Source organism: Homo sapiens, chromosome 4 (genome assembly GCF_000001405.40).
Source record: "Homo sapiens chromosome 4, GRCh38.p14 Primary Assembly".
Classification (NCBI taxonomy): domain Eukaryota; kingdom Metazoa; phylum Chordata; class Mammalia; order Primates; family Hominidae; genus Homo; species Homo sapiens.
Window position 1 is genome coordinate 171,932,116 of NC_000004.12, and position 27,580 is coordinate 171,959,695.

Consider the following 27,580-nt stretch of genomic DNA (forward strand, 5'->3'; position numbering starts at 1 on the left):
TTGTGAGGGTGACTTTAAATAATATTTTAGAAAAATATAGGTATAGGTGTGAAAACTATAACTGCTTTCCAATAGCATAAATAGCATACACTCATACTAATAGAGTACCTTTGATGGCATATATGTCCTAGTCTTTCAAGTCACTACTGTTTTGTCAAGGTTACTACAACAATTTTGAAGCTTGGCAAATGAAGTTACAATACATAACCTGGTACGTGCCTTTTTTTCCGTAGTCAACAACCAAAAAGTGAATTGTGCTTGGTGGAAACCGAGTGTTGTAAAAAAATAAAAGATTATTGACTCTGTTCGTTATCAACTGTGAACAGCTGCACAGGGAAGCTGGAAGCCAGTGGGCCCGCCAAGCACCTCTCTGAGACTGAAGCCATTTGGAGCCAGGTTGGAAGCAGCGGGAGTCTGAGGTGTCTTGTCTAGACAGCAGAGGCTCTGTATGGCTCTTGAAGAAATGGGCAAAGGACTTTATAGAGAGAAAGTCCTTCCAGAGTTCTTGGCACAAATTCATCTACCTATTTCCTTTTTGTATGTTACTATTAAAATGAGTAGAGAAACCAAGACACAAAATAAATCAATGGGATGTTTAGAGAATGAAATAGAATGGTATACACATCTAAGTTTAGAACTTCAAGAAACCTTGGCAACATACCCCAATTTCCTTATTTTATACATAGCAACACAAATGTCCAGAATAGATGAATAAATTGCATCTGATAATACAATTGGATCACCAGGGATCCGGAATGTGTATCTAAATTGCTGGCATCCATATTCAATACCTTTTCCAGGTGTCTTAAATCCTTGTGCTCAAAATGTGATCTGCAGAGCAGCAGCATCAGTATCACCTGTGTGTTTGCCAGAAATTCAGAATCTCAGGCTCATTCATAGACTTATGAATTAGAATCTCCATCTTAGCAAGATTGCCTGTGTATATGCTGTATTAAATTATTGAAAAGACTTATGAATGATAACTATGTTCTTGAGTGATAAAGGTGGAAAATTGCGTATGTACAGTAGGAAAAAATCTTCAGATCATCCATCCGTTATAACGTTTAGTTATATGTGGCTAGCATTTTTGTTAATGTCAGCCACTTGTTTGATTTTAAATCAGTCCCTCTCTTAATACGGTAATTTGAGCTCATGGTAAAATAAGAATATTTCTGTTTTTCAATAAGTATAATTTTAAATTTATAGAAAGACCTGGGTGCTGTCAAAAATTTTAGTTTAAGCCATAAAATAAACAGATTTTAATTAAATGTTTTGTTAGCTTTCATATAGACAAATGAGTTTTAGTTTATTTTCTATTGTTGTCTTTACTACTTTACAAACATAAATATTGAAATTACTCAAGTATCTATAAATGAGAAATAGTTATAAGCCAATTAATTGTTATTAACTGATTCAACAAATATTAACTTTAGGCACTATGCTAGATAGATATATAGTTTATTAGGGATTTATTTAGACTATTTTATTTCACATAAAATTCTGCAAAACAATTTGTGTTGTATATTTACTTAACTAAGACAGTTAACAAACGATTATGATTGGAGATAAAATGCAAGAATTATTTTAATTATTTTACTAATTTTTTTTCTCTTGTTATAATATTGGTTCAGGTTAACTAGTAGCAGTCACACGAATTATAAACATCAGATTTACTATGTCATCTCTCTATAACCTATGATTCCAGAGCCAGTTTTCACTAATAGTTACTCAAGATTAGACAGCATTTAGAAAATTCAGTTAATATTCTTTTAGTCATAAAATTTGGAAACACATTAAAGATTATTTATAGACTATAGTTTTTTCTCTTTTCAATGTAGGGGTTTTCAAATGTTATAAACACCACGGGACTTTTTAAAATTTACATTCCTGGACTACAGGTTAAAGTTTTTGGCTTCATTAACTTACAAGAATCTACTTTTAACATATCTTCTGTTTATTTCTATATACTCTGAAGGTGGAGTCCCTTTGGGATAAATAGGCTAGTGTATCTCATATCAAGAGATGATATGACTTCAGTTTCTTAAAAGTCTATTGGCAGACAAGGTAGATGAAACTAAGATTACAGCATTGCTCTCATCTGTGACATAAGATTTGAATTGCTGACAAATATATGTAAATATTTAGGGGACATTTCAAGAACAATACTAAAATAATCTAGAGCAGTGAATGCACATTCATGGAAGAGTTGACACTAATGGTACATTCTCTTTTTGGTAAAACCAGGAAGTAAAAAGACCCTTCTTTATGTATGTATGTATATCTATCTGTGCATTTACTTATTTATTTTTGAGACAGGGTCTCATTCTCATTTCCATCATGCAGGCTGCAGTGCAGTGGTATGATCATGGCTCACTGCAGCCTCAATTTCCCAGGCTCATGTGATTCTCTCACGTCAGCCTCCCAAGTACCTGGGACTACAGGTGTGCACCAGCATGCTTGGCTAATTTTTTTGTATTTTTTGTAGAGACAGGGTTATACCATGTTACCCAGGCTGATCTTGAACTCCTGGGCTCAAGAAATCCTCCTGACTCAGCCTCCCTAACTGTTGGGATTATGGGCATGAGCCACTGCACCCAGCCAAGACCCTTCTTTTAGATTTTTCACTAACGAAGTGGTTCATTTGGAAACTCTTAGAGCGAAAAGGCTAGAATACTACAGTTTCTGTTAATGTTTTTCTTCCTATATTCCTGTCATATTAACCAATTTCTCTTTAAATCTGCTTGGTGGAAACTGTGAAAAACTGGGAAGTTGAAGTTTGACTTACTTTTCCCTTGCTTTCTCCACCTAACTCTTTTTTTCTCCCCAAGAATGTCATATTCCAATGATCCCAAACCCTAGAGAGCTCTCCTGACCCTTGAAGCATTGTCTAGTCTCCCATTCCCATGAGAAAATGCTGCCATGTTCTTTCATGCATGGGAGAGAAACTGTATCACTTTTTTTTGCAGGATGTGAGATGCCAGTAGTAAGTACCCTAAGTTGCTTGGGCAGTGATGTGAGAGGTACTTCCGGACAGGTTCCAGTTAGATTTATAACCCTAAATTTTATTTTCAAAATCCTAATCAGGCCGATCAAAGGAAGAGTAGATATTTGGAAATGCACATCTTTGAAGTGTGATTTTCTCACTTTAAACCATGTAAGCTGGCACCTAGAGTTGGCCCTGTATAACAATATAGTCAAGTTATATATTAGTGATGCTAGAGCGGAGTCATAGCAGAGAAAACCAGAGGATAGCACCCAACAGACTATTTGTAGCCTGATAAACTGAGTCTTCAGCATTATTGGAAGAAACTAATAAGGCTACATTGACCCTGTTGACTGAAGAAACACACTGACTCTCTTTTTTCTGTTTTGAGATGGGGTCTCAGTCTGTTGCCCAGGCTGGAGTGCAGTGGCATGATCATAGTTCATTGTGCAGCCTTGACTGTCCGGCTCAAGCAATCCTCTTACCTCAGCGTCCAGAATATCTGGGACCACAGCGACATGCCACCACGCCTAGCTAATTTTTTAAATTATTTGTAGAGATGAGGTCTCCCTATGTGGCCCAGGCTTCTATATTTTTGATAACACTTTTACCACATGCATCAGCCTTCAGGAGAGCAAATATAAGTAAAATCCTGAATAAGTGTACCTCTGTAAATTTTATGGTTCCACTAGCTTGAAAATTCCTGGGCAGGTGTGTAGATGAATTTTGTGGCTAGCATTTTTGTTGCTTTCTTGCTTGGGTAGGTAAAGAATGAAGACCTCTTTTTTACCAATACCTAGTCAGGGTTAAAAATTTGGTAGCCTTCATGCCAAAAGTGAGCTTCATGTCACACAGTAAGTGAAGCCATACTAATAATATAAAAGTAGGATTTGGCATGACTAATCCTCAGAAAATATCTATCTGTGGATAATTCAGCATTATTGAATAGAAAACTTAGACAAAAAATTATTTATGGTCTCCAGGTTGAAATACCAGTTTCCTACATTAGTAAGGAGCCTGTTTTTTAATGAACAAAGTAACGTGCATACTAATGTGGCTCATGGTGTTGCCATAATCAAATGTCCCTTTTTGGTTCAAAAACTATCATTTAATAGAAGTTTGAAGGCAAGCCAAGTACAATATAAATAGACCAAGTGGGTACAAAAACCTGTTCAGTACTTGGAAAAGGTATGTAACATCTGTTCAAAGTAGAAAGCACTGGTTCACTGGCTTAATTGGAGGTGTCCTAGAAGCTATTTTTTTTTCTTCTGCTTTAGCTGTTGATCTGGTTTTCCTCTCAGGTTGTTGTAATTAAGGAATGCATACTTCGTATGAATTTGATGCAGATGAGGCCAAGAACATTTTTGTAAGATATGGATCATTTTCTTTTATGCCAAAAGAGGAAATTCTATAGTGTTTCTAATATAATCAGTTAGTCTCTAGAAATTATTCTCAGATACAGTAATAAATTACTTTGTGAAGCATTCATTTGTGCCTGCAAGTTAACAGTACCATTCTTCCCATAAAAGGGCTATTATAATCTAAACTTGTTGGAAACCAAGACAAATTATGTAAAAATGACACAAGATATTTAAAAACCTATCATGGGATGAACAATGGACATATATCATAGCAAGACATATATTTAATTGATTCACTTTTAGAAATAGTTTATATTGATATTCTGTTCTTCACATTTGCACCTCAGAAGAAAACATATTCAAATGAAGAAGAAAAATATACGTTAAGCCTCTAATTTGCTAACACACTAGGAGAATAATAAAAGCCTCTATGATTACATCATAGAGTAGATATTAGTTCAAGGCTAACAGCACATCTTTATGTCCAATCTCTAGCAACACCAAATGAAACCTTCCAGCTGAACCTGCAAGATCACGCTTCACAATACAAGTACCCAAGAAAAATATCTTCTGGACTCATGTGCTTAGCTGTGGAGTAAGAAATTCTACTACTTCAGATACTGCTGGGTGGATGAATTCTCCTTCTCTATTATCTGTACTTCAGAGTCAGACTTGAAAGGGAACTAGGGAAACTTGCCTCAGTTAAAACTTAACTATTTCTGGGGTAAGAATTTGGCTTTAGGGAAAGCAATTCACTGTTTGACATGAGTGCGATGAAATGACATTGAATTTTTAATAAGAATTACTATTGCTATTTTATTAATATTTGAGAATTACATCTCAGAAATTTTTCTTACTTATTTTTCCAATTATGTAAGTCTGTATGAAACAGCTGTGTATTCCTTAACAATTCTTAACTCATAGATAAAAAGTTATTCCAAAGGACTATTGACTCCACGAAACAATAGATTTTTAGAAAAGTATACATCTTTGACTATAAAAGAGCATGTGATTTAAGAAGTTTGTTTTTTGTATGCACATGTGATATACGTACACAGAAATTACTCTTTTCCCTTATGTTTCTAGGCCTTTATTCTGAAAACTGGAGATTTCTGTGAAATCAAAAATCTTTGTTCTCTTATTCAGTCTCATTCCTTACTTTATTCAGCTACCACCAAGCAGTTGAAATAGAATTATGGAATCAGCTTCTAGGTGAAACAGTTTCACACCTTCTGATCAAAGAGTCTTCCAGAAAAATTGGTCAAGTAAAGAATGGTTACATAGGCAAATGAAAAGTAGCGAAGTAAATGGAGTTCTGCTTGTGTCCAATGACTAGCAGGAAGAGCCCCAATTTTAGTGTTTTAATTATTTGCTAATGAATAAACATGGAAAAATAGTTAAAATGATTTTTTAATGATAAAAAGGCTCAGTAATTATTAAACAACAATCTGTCCGTGAATCTGTAAATTAGATGCATTTTTGTGGCTAATGCTGACAGGTTTTCTTTCAGATACTTGGGTTGTTTCTCGCCGTTCTGCCATGTGTTGTGTGTGTATAAACCTAGTTATTTCCATAACAAAGGCCACTTTTTACCTGTAGGCTTCAAAACACACCAAAGATGTTTAGGAACAGTTGGATTTTTTCTTTTTTTTAAGTTTTTGAAACTTGCACATTTCTTTTCAATAACTTGTAAAGGTTCATGCTGTAGAAATTTAACATTTCCTGGGTCTTTTCCAATGCCTGCTTAGTCATTCCCCAGTCTCCAGCCCAAGGGAATGTTAAGTGTGAAATATCTCATATTCTGCTCACCTCCTACCCCTGACAACAATTACTGAATACAGAATTTCTATAGCCTCTGCCTCTTGTTTGAAGTTGTGACTCTTGATTCAACTTTTCTCCCACACTTGAATGCCAACATTATAGACCCTGCCATTTCTTTGTGTAGCATTTCTGTGCAATGCCCCAACACCCATGAAATTATGATATAATATTGTGTGCATGGACATCTAGGAAGCACTAGTCCAGATTTTTACACAGTATGATACTATAAAGATATTGCTTTGGAGTTTCCAGAAAAAAATCATCTGTGTAAGTGTGAATTAAAAGCAATGTTGAATAAATATAACCTGCACATTCCATTATAACTTAATTTTAAAAGTGAAAACTGAATTGTGACTAAAGTGAAGATAAGACACACTCTTTCTCTTAAAACCAATGTTTAGATTCATGGGTTGGGAAATAGAAGTGAAATGAATAGCACAAATATTATTAACTCCAATCACCGTGAAAGAAGCATTAGAATTTCCTATTTTGCAAAGCTAGGGCTATCATCCTATCTAATGAAAGTAGAGGAAGAAATAAAAGCTAAAACACCTTTGAAAATCCATGGCTTATGGGTGTGTAGGCTGCAGAAGTAGCAACTAAAATGTAAATTGATAGCATTTTTTAACCAAGGTTTCACATCTTGGTTTTCATAAGGTTTACTGGTTTATAAAGATAAATAAATTATTAGCATAGAAAGCTGCTATTTCACAATAGTAGGTGGTGGTTGGGAGGTATCTTAAGTTGACATTGATCTCAATCTCCTGAACATTTTTTCTTTGCCTTCACCAAAAAAACAGATATTTAAAATGGAAAAAAAAAACAATTAAATCTAATTCCAATAATTTCAGTTGGAAAAAAGAAGTAGTGGGGTAGCTAGTGGATTTGCTTTATTTTATGTTACTCACTCATGATCAAATGTATGTAATAAATGGTAATTTGGTGTTACATTGGCATTAACTATTGCTTCCTGCACTGATGATTTTGCCAAGTGCTAATCAATATACTGATTTTTTTTGATAAGCCATCAATAGGTTTATTTCTTGTAATAAAGTATTTCATTAGAAAATTTGATATACTATTCTTGGGTATTAGATAAATACTATACCTACTTTTATTACTCCTTGCTGTATATACTAGCAAAATGTGTGAATTCATGAAGATTTTGACTATTTATGTAAATATAATTATATTTATAAAATTGTTAGAGTGCTAGTAAATGCATCCAGTGAAACAGACACAGAATGTATTTTCAATCTCATTAATTAATTAGAATACAGAATTTCTCTGTGGAAGTCCCCAAATCATGCAAACTGTGTTTAATTACTTCAGTACTGAAAGATTGAGATGAAAGATGAAAAGAAATGGACTATAGAACAATACGTTTTACAGATTTAGGGTTATTATCCTTCATTGTCAAAATAGATATCTGCTGAATTAATAAAAATATAAATATTTAATAGAAAATTTGTTGTTTATCAGGATCAAAGTTAGATTATACAGGATACAGATAAACAATCTTAGATACATGACCTACCTACTAAGAACCTAAAAATCTAAATGGGATACAAGTTTACATGCCTGAAACAATAAACAGACAAAAGTGATGATATACTCACTAGTAACAAGATGAATATGGAATCATATAATAAAGTCCTAAGTAGACTTCCGATGAGGAAGCTATCAACTTCAGAGTCCCACAATCATATGTATGTGTCTTGGATTTGTTTTTTTTAACTCACTGTACGGTCTTCGACAAATCACTTTACTTGTATGAATGACTGTTTCTTCCTCTATAAAATAGAGTTGATTTCATCTATCTTGTATGTATGAGAATATTGAAAAAATGATGGAAAACACACTTCTAGTCATGTGCAGTGTGTTTGATAACATATCTCATTATTAACTGTGAAAAAAACTGGAGAAAACATCATATTGTGTCCTCAGAAAATACAAAAGAAAAGGAGGGACATTGAAGGTAATTTCTGAAACTATTGATAATCAAAGAGTGGGTGGAAATGGGGAGGGGATGCAAATAAGAATGTTGTATTCTTATTTGGGGATGCAAATAAGAATGTCTGACTCATCTTTGGAGCTCACATTACCATAATACATATAGTGGTTGTTGAATGAATAATACAATTAAATGAATCAAGAACATAATGGGGAGTTTGGTTGACTACAAAAGTTTAATCTTTTGTAACCAAACAATATTGCTCTTGCCTTAGAAGATCTGAGCTCTTGAAAAAAGAGGTGAAGGGCCAGGCGCAGTGGCTCATGCCTGTGATTTCAACATTTTGAGAGGCCAAGGCAGGCAGATCACTTGAGGTCAGGAGTTTGAGACCAGCCTGACCAACATGGTGAAACCACGTCTCTACTAAAAAACTACAAAAATTAGCTGGGCTTTGTGGCATGCATCTATAATCCAAGCTACTTGGGAGGCAGGAGAATGGTGTAAACCCGGGAGGCGGAGCTTGCAGTGAGCCGGGATTGCGCCACTGCACTCCAGACTGGACGACAGAGCAAGATTCCATCTCAGAAAATAAATAAATAAATAAATAAATAAATAAATAAATAAATAAATATATAAGTCATGTATGCATTATAAGAAAATGTATAATCACTTTATAAGAATGTTATCTCATATAATACAATAAGGTTTTAAAATAATGTGAAGAATCGAGAAAATTAGTGATTGATGGGAGTGGAAAATTAAAAATAAAAAAATTTAAAAGTCAGGAGTCAATACCAGGAGAATTAATAATCTACAGTCACTTCAGGATAAATTAGAATCTATATTTACTTCATTATGTAATATCATTAATAATAGCTACATTTATGTATAAACCTAGAGAGTCGTATGAATTTGGAAAGAACTGTCATGGATGGTTAAGCAGAGATGGAACCTGTAGCAAGCTCTCTGTATTGTGAGTGAAGCTTGACTCATTGTTGACTGTATTCATTGTAGAACTCTCCACCTTACAGGTGTCGCATGCTATTTCTTCACAAGTACCATTTGATCTTCACCCTTTATTTGAAAAAAAAGAAAAATTAGCCTATGCAATACTAGGAAACCATTAACCTTGCAATATTGCCAGTTCTCCCCAAACATTCTTCTCTTGAAATATGGTGCATTTTCCCCCTTGATGCCCAGTGAATTTTAATTTTCTATAACATGCAAGATGTATAGGAAGAAAATTCTTCTGTAACATTGACAGTATGGGACACGTTAAAGCCAAGTGGCCTTTATATTTTCATTTTTGGGTAATGCCAGTTGTGTCATCACCACAGTTAGAATCTTTACGATTACTTTGAGGAAGTTCTTCATTCCACTGCTCCTTTAGATGGCCAGGGTTCTTCTGCTGTAGCTTGGCAGGTTTTCCTACCTTTGAAAAAGGAACCTGATTCAACAGCCTCTCTACCTACTTTTATGGTTCTTCACTCTCTTGAAAGAATCCATTGATATTCTTGCTTCGAACTGGCAGAATTTTTTTCAGTTGGAGACCCTTCTAAGCAAAAATTCACAAAGAGGTATATGGCTTTATTTGTGAGTTCTTAAGAAAATTATGTGAAAATTCTGTCACTTTAACATAAACAGTATTCAGCAAACATTCAGAAGAAAGAAGTTAAAAATAGAATTAATATAGATTTAAACATGCACATTATCCAGCATATAACACCTGTATCGTAACCTTTTGTAGCTATTAATAGTTTTCATGCTCAAAGTTATTCAGGAAATAGTTGAGCCCTTTAGTGTCATTTTATTTCTTGGTTTATGCTATAGCGATTTTAACACATATAAAACAATATAACAAACATTTAAAAATAGGCTGCGTTCGGTGGCTCACGCCTGGAATCCCAGCACTTTGGGAGGCCATGGTGAGTGGATCACTTGAGGTCAGGAGGTTGAGACCAGCCTGGCCAACATGGTGAAACCCGGTCTCCAATAAAAAATAAATAGATAAATAAATAAATAAATAAATAAATATAATATACAGAACTGTAAAGACAGAGAAAAATGAGGGGAGGAGGTATGCTACATGCATAACAGGAAGGTTGGTATCAGAAATCTCGAATGGCCTACTGCATGCCATGTAGCCATGATGTTTTGTATTTTCTTATTTTGATTTTACTTTCATCTTAAACAAAAAGCACTTTCCATGATAGGTCTTATTTGAATCACTATTACTCTGCTTAATTCTAATACAATAATACACAAAATATGTAGGCTAGATTTCCTTGCTTGAGAAAAATGCTGTAGTGAAGGATTTCACTCCTAAGTCTGTTTATGATTCATCTACTGAATGGTTATAAGTTAATAAGTGGAATGAAGGATAGGATTGTTTGTTTTCTTTTTCACCTACAGAATATTTTGTTTCAAGAGATGGACAATACAGATTGCACCTAAGAGCCTGTAGGCAAGCCATCTGAGAAAGTTTTCTGCATGCAGCCATCGTAGGATCTATATTGCAGACAAGATATAGAATTATATGCTCAATTACGAATGGGTCAGCTGTCCCAAGTGTCTGATGTGATGGTTGTTTGAAAGGGTGCCTTGCACATTTGGCCATGACTTGCATCAGAATTCTTATTAAAAACTAAGTAATACAACTGAGGCTCAATCCATGGCACAGCCCAGCCCTCAAAACCAATATTCATGAGTAAGTAACTAAATGACTGTGCTCCAAAAGCAGAGCCTTATTTACTGGTATGCCGTCTACACAAAAATATTAGTATTATAAGTTGTCCATGAGTTCATTTTTTCCATAGTTTCTCTCAAGGGGGTAGGATTGTTGTTTTATCATCAATTTCCACCTTCAGAAACATTCAGGAGTTCCCTCCCATCAAACAAACAAAAACAATGGCATTAAATTCATTAAACAGTTGTTTAGTTTCTACAATGTCCAAAATATAAGTTCTTATGATAGAAAAAATATTCACAAGTACATCAGTAACTCTGGACATGATGCCCCTCGGGCACCAGACCTCATCTGTGAGCAAGGTTTAGTTTCTGAAAGATTCCCCTTCTCTCTCATCGGTAGCCTTCCAAAGGATTCCTATACCAGAAATAGAAGTCAAATTTTCATGCATTTATTGACTTTTAGGATTTCCAAGTTAGAGATGGAATTTTACTTCTTGATTGCTGAAATTCTTCTACAATCTTAATACAGCAAAATTTAGAAATATTACATATTAAATGTTTCACTACATTCAACACTCTCTGATAAGTAGCCACCTATATTTGTCTCTCTTACTTAAAGTGTGTGATCTACTAGTAGACATGCTAGACCAACTAACTCTCAACTTACTTTTCTCAAGGCAATGTTATTGTAAAAGATCTTTAAAAAAATCTGTATTTGCTTGCTACTTGATTTCATCTGAATCCCCTGGTCTTCTTGCTCTCAACCATTTATGTTCTTAACGCTTTCTCAGAAGAAAGAATTCAAATGCAAAGAGAAACAGAAGATAATCACTTCTGAGTTAATGTTTTCCTTGAAGTTCAAATCCATGGATATAATTTTATTGCTCCCTTAGGATTTCTATAGATTTTCTTCCTACGGGTAGGCTTTTTTTAAGGTAAGCTATTTTTGACAATGCTATAGTTAAGAGACTAGAATGCAAAGGTGGTATAATTTTCTTAAGTTAAGTGAATTAGCTTTCTTCTTTAACTCCATATTTGAACCTAAGCCTTCTAGAAATTATAGAAGAACATATTATATCCTAAACTAAATTGTAATAAGACTTGCCTTAGTAAAATGAAAATACTTTCTGGAGTCTGTGTGTAATTTACATACAATGATATCAGCAATCAAATGATAAGAAAAAAATAAGTATATCTTTTCATTATAAAAAAAAGCATCCAAACACTTTAATAAAGTATTTCTTAAAAGATAGATAATTTTGATTTATAGGAAGATCCACCCCCAGATGTCCATGACTTGTAATTTTAATACCTTATTAATTGTAGCTTTCTATATTTTAGGGAAAACATTCAGATGCAACATTGTGTTGGAATAGAAGAAGTTTATTCCATAAAAATATTAAGTGTCTACTTTCCTTAGGATATTGCTAAACAGTATGAAGACTAAGTGATCTACGCCACAGCTTCAAAATTAAAAAGACTTGAATGAGATTAATATCAGGTTTACTTAGTTGACACCCATCTAAACATTTAGTATGAGTCTCTGTAACCTTAACAATAAAATTAGGGTTTTGGATACAGTGATTTCTACTGGTGTTTTCAAAGAAAAAGTCCTATTATTCTATAATCTTATGATTTGGTCAAAAGCTTGTGACCTTGAGATGCTTTTAAATATATTTATTGATTTAGTATAAATCAGAAAATACATTCATTTCTAATCCATCTTAGACAGGTAGGAGAGTTATATTTAAGTTTCCTCTGGGTGTGAGAAGGAAAATGAGTCATCATATAGGTTTCTAACTATCCTGTATGCATTTCTTCACTAATATGTAAGTTATAACCAGTTTTAACACTCAAAAGAAATTTATTGTTGCATTATACAAAGATACTTAAAAAAAAAATCTCACCTGTACTTAATAATTTGTCTTTTGTTGAAGCTAATTGATAATGATATCAGTTAAGTCCTTAGCTACCTATGCTTTTATAATATTTTATTTATTTATTTATTTTACCTAAAGCCTGCTCTAAGTTCTGTTCTTTTTCAATCAGAAGTAAAAGAGTATAGAAAATATTAGTGGCAGGACAATGTTTGCTGAATCAAAAGTCATACCTAGGTAAATGCCTCTTGAGAAGATGGCGGGAAGGAGCTCTCTTATTCAGACTCTGAAATTTCAATAAGTAGCTGAGTTCCGAAGTGTTTATTTGAACAGAATGTTTAAAAAACATAAAATTTCCCCTTTACAACCAACTCTCCAGATACCTAGCATGTTGATATTTAGATTCTAAAATTTATATCAAAAAACATCATTGAAACAGATGCTGGTAATATCATTGACTGAGAATTTGCATTAAAGATGACTCTTGGGTGTGCACTCAAGCGTTCATATGTCCATTAATAGCTACTTGTGGGGATATTATGACCTGTTTAGAATTCTTATTTTTTCTCAAAGTTTTTAAGGCATAAGAGAAGATTAATAGCTGCTAGATGAAACCAAAAGGATAAGCAGCAATGCAGTGAAGAGTGTTGTGAAATACACACATTTGTCATGACTCCCAAGTGGCAAATAAAATCAAAGTTGAAAATCAATGTCTATTGATCAATCTATTCGTTTTCATGCAAGTTCTATAAACTATGTAGTACTGATGTTAGTATTTTATTGGCATATAGAACAGACATAAACTTTCCTTTTCTCTTGAGTCTTTCTGCTCATAAAGAATTTAAAATAATAGCATGACATACATAAAGTAAGATTTGTTCTTAGGTTTCGGGGAAGAGCTTATAAAACATGCATACATTATGATAAACAAAATGGAAGGTACACTGCAAGCAAAAAATAACCACATTTAATTGTTTTTCAGTCTGGCTTTTGATATCAGGCTCAAAATTTGCTTGCAAATTTAAAGACATTATTCTGTTTTGGGAGGTATATAGTTATGAAACTTGTTCTTTCAATTATAGTCACAATATAAAATTACTGGATATGAATCTTGAGGCAATCCCAGGTGACTGGATATTGTGTTGACAATGAAAACATATTAATAAATGTTGACTTACGCTTATAAAGAGCTTACTGAAAAAAATCAAGCAAATTTGTGCATGGCTTTTTTGGATTAATGTGATAGTAGAAAGAGGTTATGGTATATACACATAAGCAGCTTAACAGATAGAATTAGCAAGCTGGGTATTGCCAATACAAAATTTGTAGTTCAAATAGAATTTCAGAATGTTCCAAAACTGTCCTAATATCTACTATTTCAATGATTAGAAATTAGAATACCTTTCATTCCTGAAAAATACGTATTTACAAAATCAAAATGTCAGAGTCACAGGAGATATAAGCTATTTCCTTATTAAGAAAAGTTTAAATAATAAAAAGTTAAGTCAGTAGAACAATGACTAAAATAGGAAAAGTACAAACAAAAATTGTTAGATGCACCTGTGACAATATTGTCTAGTTACTGCTTTTACAGCCTTAGCACATATTTTTTCTTAAGCAATTCCTGGGTAGAGTTTTCTACCTCTCCTTAACCAGCCAGTTCACATCAGAAGACATAAACCCCTTGGTGGATGTTATTCATCTCTCTGTCTCTTGCTCTGAGCTGCGTATTGCACAGTAGGCATTCAGTAAGCCTCATCGAGCTCGTCTTCTCATGGGACATGCAGAAAACTTGTAGACAAATGAGAGGAGAGTAACTTTGAAGATTGTGATACATGTTATGAAGAGAATAAACTGAGTGAAGAGATAACATACTTTGGATAAGCTAGTCAGAGGCGGCCTCTCCAATGCCATGAGTAGAATGGGACACTTGTGAAGAGTCATGAGGGAAACATTTATGGCAGGGGGAGCATCTGGTACAAAGTCCTGGAGGAAAAGGATTTGGCATGTTAGAGGGACAGAGAGGGGCCAGAAGAGAAGGTCTAGAACAACTCCAGAGTGTAGGGCAGAGACAAGAAGACCCCGGTAAGGACTCCATATGTTTTACTAAGTTCCGGGGGGTACAAATAAAAGCTTCTAAACAAGGAAGTGAAAATGTCTTGTTTCTATTTAAAGATTGCCCTGGCTCATCTTTAGAAAATGGATTAGATGTCGGGAGATGAAAAAGTGGGAAAAATGAAGAATAACTGGCTATTACCTCTTTGTTCTTCAAAATTGTTCTCATTTTTGAATACTTTCTTACATATAAGTACAACCTACCCCCTTTCCTCTTTAAATTCTTATCCATTATCTCTCTTTCCGCATGTATTTAAATTGTGCTCCTTCCTTCATTTTTATGTCATTCACCTCTTTTGCTTTCTCCCACATTTTATTTTTAACTTGTCGATGTTAATAATCATTTTTAACAAAAATTTCACGTCTACTCCAAATACCACCTACTTGCACCTGGCAGGGTTGAGAAGCTTACTCTAGAACAGAAAATATGAATTATAGGTTGTAAGGGAAGAAACATCTGCACTGAGCATGGTTAGGGTTAACTTTTGCCTGCCTTACCAGTAGTAATATATCTAGGTCAGAGCAGAGGCAACAGAATGCTGCCTTAAGTCAAATAACTCACTTCTTTCTCTTTTAGATACATTGGGTGAAGGACTTGAATGTTTTCACCACTTGTATTCACAACAGAGTGCTGACAGGAAACAACACACAAAGAGTGAACTGACTATAGGGAGATGAATGGCTGCTTAACTCACTGCCTAGTCCCTCAGTCCTGTCTACAAAGGACTGAAAGCTGGCATGACAAAGACTAATAGTAGATTCAGGATGAATCTCCTCTGGTCCACATGACCCAGGTTCAGTTCAATCTGGGAAACAGGGGTGGAGGAAAAAATGTATTATTCAATCAACTCACCCTCACCTCCACTAGCAGCCTAATATGTACTGGAGTTTGAGTGACGCACCAGAGCCCTATCAACTGAAAAGCCTGAAACTAGAGGAAGTCTCACAAATGTCAATGGTTATTAATTTCAGTTAACTGATTAATTCTCATTTTATTAGTGATGGACTTGGAGGGTTCTAATAACTGACTCTTGAAGAATTTTCATATAAATGTTATTATATATTTTCACATAGCACCTTTTTCTTCCCATTTCTCACTTAGGTACAAGGTTTCACTATTTCATTTATGTAATAGTGAGATGGGGGGAATACTGTAATATCTTTTATACACCACAGCAACAAAGACATAACATTTTGTTCTGTTTCATTTATGAAGGATTTAGAAAGAAAATGATCTTTAAAAGAAAATTCAATTTTTGGAAAAAAAAAATGACAGTGAATGGCACAGAGCCTCTTTATTTCCCTTGAAGCTGTCAGAGTCAGAGAAGAAAACCACTTTGGGGTATGAGTCTGCGGTACCTGTCATAAGACTGAAAGGACTTGATGTTGAGATTTTATTAGCTCTGACAATATGGGAAAATTCCATTCTAAACTGTAATAAGTAGTATATAAAGTAATTTAGATATGCCAGTGGCTATGGCCCTGGGTGTAAATGTATATACCATGTGCGTAAATAAAGCTGGGGTAAATTTGCCACTAATGAAACTTCTGTGTAATTTAGGCTTTTTTGAAATTATATGAAGTTTTGAAATGTGTGTGTGCTTGCATGTGTGTGTGTTTTAATATTAACACTCTGCAAATACATTATCTCCCTTTTAATAAATAAAATTTGAAATATATGTGTGTTACTACATGCATATCTATAGACTATAAAATAAATGGATACAAAACTTGCCCTTAACAATTTATGCTGTTTAAGCTAATATTATATTAACGCAATAATATTATGATATTTTTCCTCTCTCTTTGAACATAGCAAACATTTTCTCTTCCATCAATGACTGTTTCCCTTTGGTTGTTTTTGCAATGATGAAATAAAATATCAACACATTTCCTGAAAAATAGGCAATATCTCAATAAAATTTACTGTTAGCAAATGATGCCCAGCTTTGTATTTGGCATTTGTCCCATATGAGAAAAAAGTCAATTGCAGAATAATATGGACAGTCTTTTCAACAGTATGACAGACTCGCAAGCCATATATATATACACACACACACACACACACACACAGACATACACACACACTCACTGAGTTGACATGACAATAAAAAAAGTATTCAGAGTGCGTCCAAAAAGGAATTGAGAACAAGAATCTAGAAAAGTGACCCAAAGAGTCCTGGCAGCCGGTTTCTCTGCTAATCCCACATGAACTTGAGTTTTTTATTCTGATGGCCTTGGGGAAAGCAGGAGAGAGTGCACAGAGGCCAGGCTCTGCCCAGCATTGTAGGGGAGCCCACTACCAAAGGACTGTGTCATCAGTTTACCTTTAAGATACATTAAGAAAACAACAAACCTTACATAGCAATAACAAGCAAATGTATCTTTTTTACCTGGGCTCTTTCTTGAGTGGTCCCCAAGTACTCACTTTAGAAATTTATATTTGTGTTCTTGGTTTCTAGAATGTCCAGGCTAGGGGAAGAAATAAATACAAATCCTCTCTGAAGCTAAGCAACAACAATTCAGGCCTCAAAGATTTTCACAGATAAACTTTTTTGATTATGCTTAACAATTTTTTAAAAATCACAAAACCTGAGAGGGGAAAAAAGCGTAATGTATAAAAGAGGGTGAAGGTGAGGGGCAGAAAGTAGATTGAGGTGGAAAGTATTGCAGATATTGAAATTCTCAGATTCAAATTACAGAATAAGTAGATGAATGCACCTACTAGAATAAAAAGTGTCAAAAGCAAGACTAAGTAAAAATATATTATAAAAATGACAGCAGAGAAAAAATATAATAATTAATGAATCACACAATGAGTAAGTTAAGTAGTTGATATGAAATTGGTGAAGAAAGACAGTAAATGAAATAGAAATTTTATATAAAATGATTCTGAAAGAAGTGTGGAGGGATAAAATGGTAGAATGCGTAAAAGAGAGGCTAAGAGATACATAAGGCAACCTAGTTGTAAAAAGATTTTAAAAAGGAGGTTTGGGCGGGGACAATATTAAAAGAGATAAGTGATGAAAGATGTAAATTCCACCCATTCAAAATAAATCTCCAGTTGGAAAAATTAAATGCCATCCAGTAGAACCATCAGAGTTGCAAAACAGAGTACCAAAGATCTGAGAATAGCCCTGGCGAGAAAATAGGTATTCTTTGCAAAGAAACAATAGTTAGACTGAGAGCTGATTCCTCATTACTAAAAATAGAATCTAGAATTGATTGGAATATTGTCTTTGTCATAACTTAATAACAGTCAACTTAGAATTGTATACTTGTCAAAAATATCATTGAAGCATAAATTCAAGATAAAGGCATTTTAATAACAGATCAAAGAAACAAGAGAAATTCACTCAAAAATGATAAGGAATGTACTTAGGGTAATAGGGAAGGGAAGGTCTGAATCATAACAAGGAAGAGAGAGCAAAAAATTAGTTAACGTAGGTTAAAAAAGAGAAAACATCAACCTTATAAATCAACAATAGGATGAAGTTTGTGGAGTTAATAAAGAACTGAAATACTGGACACAGATAGGTGGGTGAGCAAAGTAAAATCTTTTCTTTTCTTTTTTTTTTTTTTTTGAGATGAAGTCTTGCTCTGTTGCCCAGACTGGAGTGCAGTGGCTCGATCTTGGCTCACTGCAACCTCTGCCCCCAGGTTCAAGCGATTCTCCTGCCTCAGCCTCCCGAGTAGCTGGGACTACAGGCGGGCACCACCACGCCAGGCTAATTTTTGTATTTTTAGTAGAGAAGGGGTTTCACCATGTCAGCCAGGCTGGTCTCGATCCCCTGACCTTGTGATCCGCCCGCCTCGGCCTCCCAGAGTGCTGGGATTACATGTGTGAGCCACAACGCCCAGCCAGTAAAATCATTTTAAGGAGAAGACAATACACAAATTATTTTAGACTTGCTGAGATGATTACCTATGTTATTATTTCTAAGACGCACATTAAATTATGGAATGGGTGTACAGAATTTAAAACTGATAGAGAGAATGAAATGTAAAAAAGGAAGAAAAATATAAAATACATCAAGAAAAAAGAAACAGAGAAGTAACCTAGAAAAAGCAGGACACATGGAAAGTATAAAATTAAGTTATAGAAACATATCCAAGTGTATCAGTCTATTTAATAAATGTACCAGGAATAAACACACTATTTGAAGGAACAGATTGTCATATTAGACTTAAAAACATTCCAGGTGTGTGTTGTATATGACAGATACAATTAAACATGAGAAATAGAAAGGTTGAAAGAAAAAGGAAGAAAAGAAGTTGCTAAAAAAATAACAGAAGAAAGAATTATTTTCTAAATATTAATATTTGGCAAATAGACATTGGGGCAAAAAGTATTACTAGAGAGGATAAAATTGACTCCATAATAATATAACTTTAAACAAGCTAGAAATATGTAAGTATTATAATGCTTATAAATATTGTAATGTTTGTATGTTATGCAATGTACATGATAAAATGTTTTCAATTATGCTATATCACCTTTTACTTAACTGCAAGGAGAAATTAATGAATGCAACAAAAATGGGAGATTTTAGCAAATAGTTCTCAGCAAGTAAGAGATTATAAAAATCACGAGTAAAAATTTAAAATACTAAAAAATATTAACACTTTTATATATTGGACATAAGTAAAACATTGTGCACTCACATACACACAACAGATAATATATAATTAAGCACTTTTAAAAATTACTTGTGCTACACAATGGATACTAATTTCAAAATGTCAAATAGATAATATCTTTCAGAACACATTCAATTTTTAAAAACTGGAATTAAGTAAGAAATCTGCGGAAAAAATTGCTGGAAAATATTTAAAACACTTTTGAATTACTACGGAATCAAGAAATTACGCTAAATTATACACTTCTACTAATAGTATAGAACTTTAATAACATATCAAAACTTGAGGGATAAAGCTATAGCAATAATTTAGAAGCTAGTTTGTAACCTGAACTCTTACAGAAATAAGTAGCACATTATTGAGCAATGTATCCCAGAGTTACATGCCCAATAAACTAGTAAAATATTTTAAAAATGAAAGTTTGGAAAGAAATAATGAGTATAAAGTCAGCAATTAATGAAATAGAATACAAAGTGTAATAGAGTAACAAAAAAACCATTCTTTGAAATAAAGTAACTAATTTAAAGAGTTTGCAAAATTGATCAAGTAAAAGTATTGGAATGGAGATAAACTAGTGCAGATGGTGCAGGGATATTAATGGAGATAAATATATTTGAAAACACATATGTCAATAAATTTAAAGGCAATTGACCAGGCTTTGTTTATGGAAGTATATCACTGATTAAAACGGAGTCAAAAAGAGATTGAAAATAGAAACGGCCCCATAAGCATAAAGTACATGGAATTGTGAATCCAAAATTTTCCTAAAGCACTGTTTTGAAAATTTCACTAAATATTCAAGCAACAAGTACTTCTCCTTCTTATTCAAATGGTTTTAAAAAATAGAAAATTTCAATATATACAATATGAGAAAAAAATTATAAACCAATCTCAACTATTAAATTAAATGCAAAAGCCTATATATATTGATGTTTCTGAATTTAGTGATGTGTAAAAATTTCAATGACTTATTATCAAGTTCAATTTTTTAGGGATGCTGTTTAACATTTGAAATCATTTAATAAATTCAAATTGAAGTAGCAAAATTACATGATCATTTCAATGGAAAGAAAAAACATTTGATAAAATTTAAAATCTCTTATGATAATAGCTTTTAGCAAACTAAAAATATAACTGTAATTCTAACATAGGAGAGCTACACTAAATCTATGGTGAATGCCTGATCTAATGAGTAAAAATAAGGATCATTTCTTTTGTAATCATGATATGCACTATAATCACTTTTTTCAAAATCCTGTACCTTTGGGTTATAGTGATTTAATTAGCTTTAGAAAGTAATAAATATATAAACCTTGAAAAGAAAGGAAAAGAGCTTGAAATTATTCATCAATAATGAGAAAAATCTAAAAATTAAATGCTAGAATTAATAACATCATTTAGCAAGTTAGCTATTTTAAATCACAGCATCAAAAAGAAAATATATTTTTAGAAAGTTAGCATTTACAATGAAAATTAAACACAAGATAACTAGGGGCCAAATTATTCAAAGAGGCGTAAGGACATAATGTTGAAAAGTATACTTTACTGAAAGGCAATGAAAAAAAGGGCTAAAAAATTATGGATAGTGAAACAGCATAGTCGGTTACCCCAAATTAATCATAAATTCAATAGAATTCTAATCAAAATTAAAATGGTGTGCGCATGCGCACGTGTGTGTGTGTGTGTGTGTGTGTGTGTGTGTGTGTGTGTAAGAAAAAAGAGTCAGGAAGAGCCAAGATACAGAAGGAAAATTAGCAGCAGTATAAAGACTTGAATGACAGATATTAAGACTTACTACTTTCAGTCCACATGCTATTGGATCTGGAGTAGAAAAACAGATCAATACAACAATCAGCTAAGAAACAGAACCCCTTATGTGTTGAAAATTCATTGATCAGAATTGGCATTGCAAATAGGTGAAAAAGAGATGAAACATTCAATAAGTGATCTTGGATTTTAATTATCAATATGGAAGTTTATTTTTACCTTATAGCATATATTAAAACTCCTTAAAGAAAATTACAGACCTAAATACAAGACATTCAATCTTTAGGAGAAATTCACTTTAGTTTTGGAAAGAATCTCCTAGAAATAGAATTTGCAGCTTTACATTAAAATTGAGTATAATTGTATGAAAAAGCAACATACATGGAGGACAAATACAAGCCAATGACACAAATAACTGCTAAATAATGAATATCAAGAGTATATATTTTTATATTCCACAGATAATTGAGAAATAGCCCAAGAGACAGTAAAGGCATGGGGATTTATTTTTAAGAAAATCAAACAGAAATAGACAATAAACATAAGAAGAATACCTCATTAACAATTGGTGAGGAATACATTTTAAAAGTCATTACAATGGAAAAATTTAAACAAATCTTATTATGGGTTTCTGGTATACATATTAACTGGCATAACAATGTTCAAGAAATGATCACTGTCTAGTAAGGTTGATGTGCAAACCTTATGGACCAGAAAATCTACTCACAAATATAATGTGAGGAGTGGTTTTCAAACTTCATTTGATTGAAGCACATACGCTAAAAAAATAAGAAAAATGTAATTAAAATTTATGTAGCCTTATTTTGTGAATGGCACTCTGTCATTTTGTATTCTATCAATTATGTTTAAAAATTCTATTCATAACTCATTGGGTTGATTTCATGCCAATGAAGAGTTGTGATTTATGATTTGAAATACACTGCTCCAGAGCAATTCTTGCACTATGTAATAGAAAAAGTCCAATAGAAGTTTCAAAAAAACATTTTTGTAGCATATAAAAACACATAATCATGATGCCTACTTATAAGAAAATGAGGACTAGCTTGTGTTGTATAGTTATACAATGAACAATTATGTAGCAATAAAAGTAAATTAAATTTAGTTCACAAAAGTCATCTTCAACAAATACTGCAAATTACGTAAGAATACAGATGCTTCTGATTCATGCAAAGTTAAAATATGCAAAATTAAGAAATACACAAGGGAGAAGTGGGGAAGAGATTATAGATAAGTACATACATATTTGTGAAACAATATTTCTAAATATTCATTAAAATAATCTGAATAAGTATTGGGAAATTAGACAATCAATTAAACATTATTTTAGAAGTTGATATGGTTTGGATTTGGGTCCCTGCCCAAATCTCTTGTCGAATTGTAATCCCCAATGTTGGTGGAGGGGCATGGTGAGAGGTGATTAAATCATGGGTGTGAACTTCCCCCTCTCTTCTCTCTTGACAGTGAGTGAGTTCTCACAAGACCTGGTTGTTTAAAAGTGTGCAGCACTTTCCAGTTGTCTCTCTTCCTCCTGCTCTGGCCATGTAAGGAGTGCCTGCTTCCCTTTTGCCTTCTACTATGGTTGTAAGTTTACTGAGGCCTCCCCAGCCCTGCTTCCTGTAAAGCCTGCTGAACTGTGAGCCAGTTAAACCTCTTTTTAAAAATAAATTGCCCAGTCTCAGGTATTTCTTTACAGCAGTGTGAGAATGAACTAATACAGAAGTCTTAAAATATCTGATTACTTAATGATGTAAACAACTGAATATAAAGTAAATTGACAGTCAATGTAAGGCTGAGGACCTCTTGTGTAAAAGAAATAGTTCACAATTTGAGTGATTTTCTTTTATTTACATTGCAAGAAACAAAAACAAAAATAAAGCATACAAAAGAAACTTTCTTTGGTCTCTAATTCCACCACCGAAGTACAATACTGAAATTCTTAGCAAATGCTCTTTAAAACCATTTTTATTCATATAATATATATACACCTTTTTATTTGTATAAAATATATAATACGAATGAAATATATCTATCTATCTATCTATATATATATATGTTTACACACACACATACAGTTGACCCCCGATATTCATGAAAGATTGGCTCCAGGACTCCCCTGCCCTCTCATGCATGCCAAAATCTAAGGATGCTGAAGTTCCCAAAATAAAAGGTATATTGTTTGCATATAACCTATGCACATCTTCCTGTATACTTTAAATCATCTCTAGATTACTTAAAATACCTAATGCGATGTAAATTCTATGTAAATCGTTGTTATACTGTATCGTTCAGAGAATAATGACAAGAAAAAAATGTTGGTACATGTTTAGTACAGATGCAAATTTTTTAAAATATATTTTTATCAATAATAGGTTGAATCTCCACATGCAGAACTCAGATCTACAAAAGGCTGTGTGTGTATACGTGTGTGTATATATATATATAAATGGCAGCATGTTACATATATATAACATGTTACCATTAAACTGTTAAATTCAACATACTCTTAACTTGCTTTCCCCCAAAAAGACATTGAAGCTTTTCCTTATGCAATTAGTTAAAAGTACATATTTTGTTTTATTAGCTGCAAAGTATTATAGTTTTTGGTATAAAACAGTATTTATGTTCTTTTTAATAAATATTTGTTACTTACTAATTTGTGTGTGTGTGTGTGGGACAGGGCCTCATTCTGTCACCTGTCACCCAGGCTGAAGTACAGTGGTGCAATTATGGCTCACTGCAGCCTGAAACTCTGGGGCTCAAGTGATCCTCCCGCCACAGTCTCCAGAGTAGCGGGACTACAGGCATGCGCCACCACACCTGGCTAATTTATTCTGTATTTTTTGTAGAGACAGCATTTTACTATGTTGCCCAGGATTGTCTTGAACGGCGAGGCTAAACCAATCTGCCCACTCTCAACCTTCCAAAGTGCAGGGATTACAGGTGTGATCCACTGTACCCAGCCATTTATTAGTACTTCAAAATTATTTTTAAATGATATAGTATACTCCCTAGACATATATCTTTGTGGAATTACCCAATTATTTCCTAAGGATAAATTCCTAGAATTATTTAAATAAATAAGAGGAACTTCTTTGTATATGACAGGGTTGATAAAAACCATCCTTGTACACATCTTTATCAAGATCAAGTACAATCAATTGTGTTGCTGCCAATACGTTTAGCAAAACTCATTTTTGGCTTTTTAAATTTTCATTTTTGATCACTAATGATAATTTCATATTTCTTCTTTTGTGAATTGTTTATGTTAATATTCACCTTTCATACAAATATTCATTGTTTTATTATCATTTTTAAAATTAAATTCTTTATCAGTTGCAAAACTATTACAACATAAATAAATATGCATTGACTTTATTGTTGTTTCTCTCAAATGCCAAACTTTCTACTTTAGACCCTTTGCTTTTTTCATTCTCTTCTTCTGGAATGCATCTCTCCTATTCCTTTGCGTGACTCATTCTCTTACTTTATGTAGCTCTCTGTTCAAATATTACCACTTCACCCACTCTCATTTCTCATCAGAGAGCCAGCCTTCCGAGTTGTAGAAACTGCCTACTCTGAAATCTCACATCCTGCCTTGCTGTTTAGCAGTCACTCTGACCTAACTATCCTTACCTTTCTTAGGTCTTCAAATACAGTGGGCATCGTCCCAGCTCAGGACTTAAGGTCTTGCCACATGATGGCCTCACTGCGGGGAATGTTCTTTCTACTTTGTAGTGTACCTAAATCCTGCACATCCTTCAGGTCTGTTAAAAGTAGTTTTCTCAGGAAGGCCATCTCTGACTTTACTGAACAGACAAGGTCTAACCTCTAATTTCTGTAGATTTATGGCTTAGTGTAGTGACAGATATGTAGGAACTTTATAAACGTTAATTAAATCATGTTAAATTAATAACATGAATGAATAGCAAAATATGCTGCTGCTTTTACAATGTGGGTTATTCCCTAAGCAATTGTCAAAAAATAAGTTGCTATAAAAGCATATATTTATAATTGTAGTTTTATAGTCCACACTGGGAAGCTTTAAAACCCAAGGAAACATTACTCACTTTGGTCCCTGGTAAAGGCTGCGCTCTGTGTTTTAGAAACTAAAATTTATGGACAGCCAACCTTGCTGCTGACATCTATGAAAAAGGAAGAAACAGAAATATGAGGAGATGGTGTCACCTTCATTAAATGCGTGGAGGAACAGTATTTACTTTTCCAGTTTTCACAACTCTGACCAGAAAACTGTTGTCTAGTTATCAACGCATTGCGGCATTTTAAGAATATATTAATTAGGAATTCTAACTCTTTAATTTATCTTAACCTCTGTCTACCTTAGTCTTGCCCTTCATTAGCTAACACTGAAATGACCTATCTGACTCATAAGAAGTCAACAGGTAAAGAGCAGGTGTACAATCCATTCTCTCCCTTTAGAATAGGGAATGTCTTTGGGAAGAAAGTAAGTAACTGACCTGTTCAGATGTCCTCGTGAGTATGCTAACATATTTGACAAAAAAAATGGTATTTTCTAGCGGGAATCCTAACCTAAGGTATCCATTTTGCTGGATGCACTTAGGTTGAATTGCTTGTGATAACTGGGGATCAATGGACAAAAGACAGCATAAATAATGAACCTGCATGTAAAACGTTTATGTTTTATGATCAGAAAAGCACCTTTGTGTAAGTAATATGGCCTCACATGTTAATCTAGAGCACATTCTAATGCAGTAAGAATGAAAATGTACATATACGTTAGACAGTTTGAAACCTCTCACTGCTTTACCTCTTCCTAGTGATTACTGATATCCTTGAAATTATTGGTAATAATTGAACTTCACTAAAATCTCTGATACACCCAAGTCTGATTTGAAAATATAATCTTTTGTGTGATATCCACAGATATTGAAGGCTGATTGTAAGAATGCAACAAAATATCATCCATAAAACCATGACTTAATGCATAAACAGCTGAACAAATACACAAGTCTTTTTCTATATTAAAACTATGGAAGATATCACATGAAAACTAAGCTAATGCTTTCAGGGTGGACGGAATATGCATTGAAGGAAAATGTTTACAAATGGGAAAATTTTTGTTTTTTTAACATGTATCAATAAGTATATTTTAAAAATTAGGAAAGAGAGTCATTTCTATGAGAAGAAGTTCACAAAATATTGAAAATAATCATATTAGGTCTTTACTGTTATCAGATAAATGAATTTTGTACAATTTCAATGGTCACAATTCACTGTCAATGTTAAATATAAATACTTTTTTAACTGAATATCCTAGATATTTACAAACTTTACATTACTCCCATATCAACTATGATCAATCACATAATTGCAATTAATCTTCCTCTTTGTGATTGAAAAATAAATTCTGAAAACAGATGTGAAAAATGTAATGCATTGATAAACATCAGTTTTCTACAGTCATTACATAGCCCATTATTTATATTTCTTTGACTCAAATATATGTTGTGATTTTATATTCAGTTTTTAAAAGAAAATCTATTATCTTTAACATTTTAATAAATGTACACCATGCTTGTTAAATGAAATGTCAAAAAGTATCTTATAATAAAATATTTTTTCTTTATTAGAGAAACTTGTAATCTTTCTTCCATCCATACCTTCTGAAATAAACTTAAAGGAAATGAATATTGTAAAACATGCTTTAGCCTGAGAAATATGCAATAATTAGGCTGAACCTAGAATTCTGTGTTCAACTTAGTAAGTAAAACTTTTTATATTTGTAGTAAGGAAGAACTTTATAGTTGACGGCTTGTTACGTTTAACCAATTAGAAAGACTATCACATTGTACCATTACAAAATATGTAATTCTAAGGGAACTAGAGTCTGAAATGCAGGAATTTTTTTTTGAAAACAATATAATGCAGTTGAGAAATTGTTGCCTTATGAATGTAAACATTTTTGTGAATTAATCATTAGGCAATGTTCTCTTAGGTAAGATACTAAGTCTGAGCCATGGAATTTAAAAGATCTCATCATCTTAGAAATTTATCAGCCGATAGAGCTATTACAATTTGGGCAACTTTAAAATAGAGTTCTGTAGAATAATTCTAATATTTGTTAAATTGTTTAGTGTTCCATTAGAGTTATACCAATTTTAGTGAATATAACTTCTCTGCAGAATAAATATTTTTAGGGGCGCTGGGGTGTCTTCTTTTAGAATTTGTATATACATACTTACTCAGAGCTGAGCATAGTGGCACATGTCTGTGGTCCCAGCTACTCAGGAGGCTGAGGCAGGAGAAATCCTTGAACCCAGGTGTTCCAGACCATCCTGGGCAACACAGGGAGACCCTATGTAAAGAAAGAGAA

At 33.3% G+C, this 27,580-nt stretch overlaps 1 protein-coding gene across 2 annotated transcripts in view, besides 1 other annotated feature; it reads left to right on the forward strand.

Annotated features, from left to right (window-relative positions):
* GALNTL6 (polypeptide N-acetylgalactosaminyltransferase like 6) overlaps positions 1 to 27,580 on the forward strand; it is a 1,228,156-nt gene that overhangs the window by 118,712 nt on the left and 1,081,864 nt on the right. The window lies entirely within an intron of this gene.
* Positions 15,283 to 15,577: a silencer, noted in NCBI's record as "tiled region #892; HepG2 Repressive non-DNase unmatched - State 24:Quies". NCBI's record gives its function as "represses a minimal TATA promoter and a strong SV40 promoter by Sharpr-MPRA in HepG2 cells {active_cell/tissue: HepG2}" and the evidence as "EXISTENCE:reporter gene assay evidence [ECO:0000049][PMID:27701403]".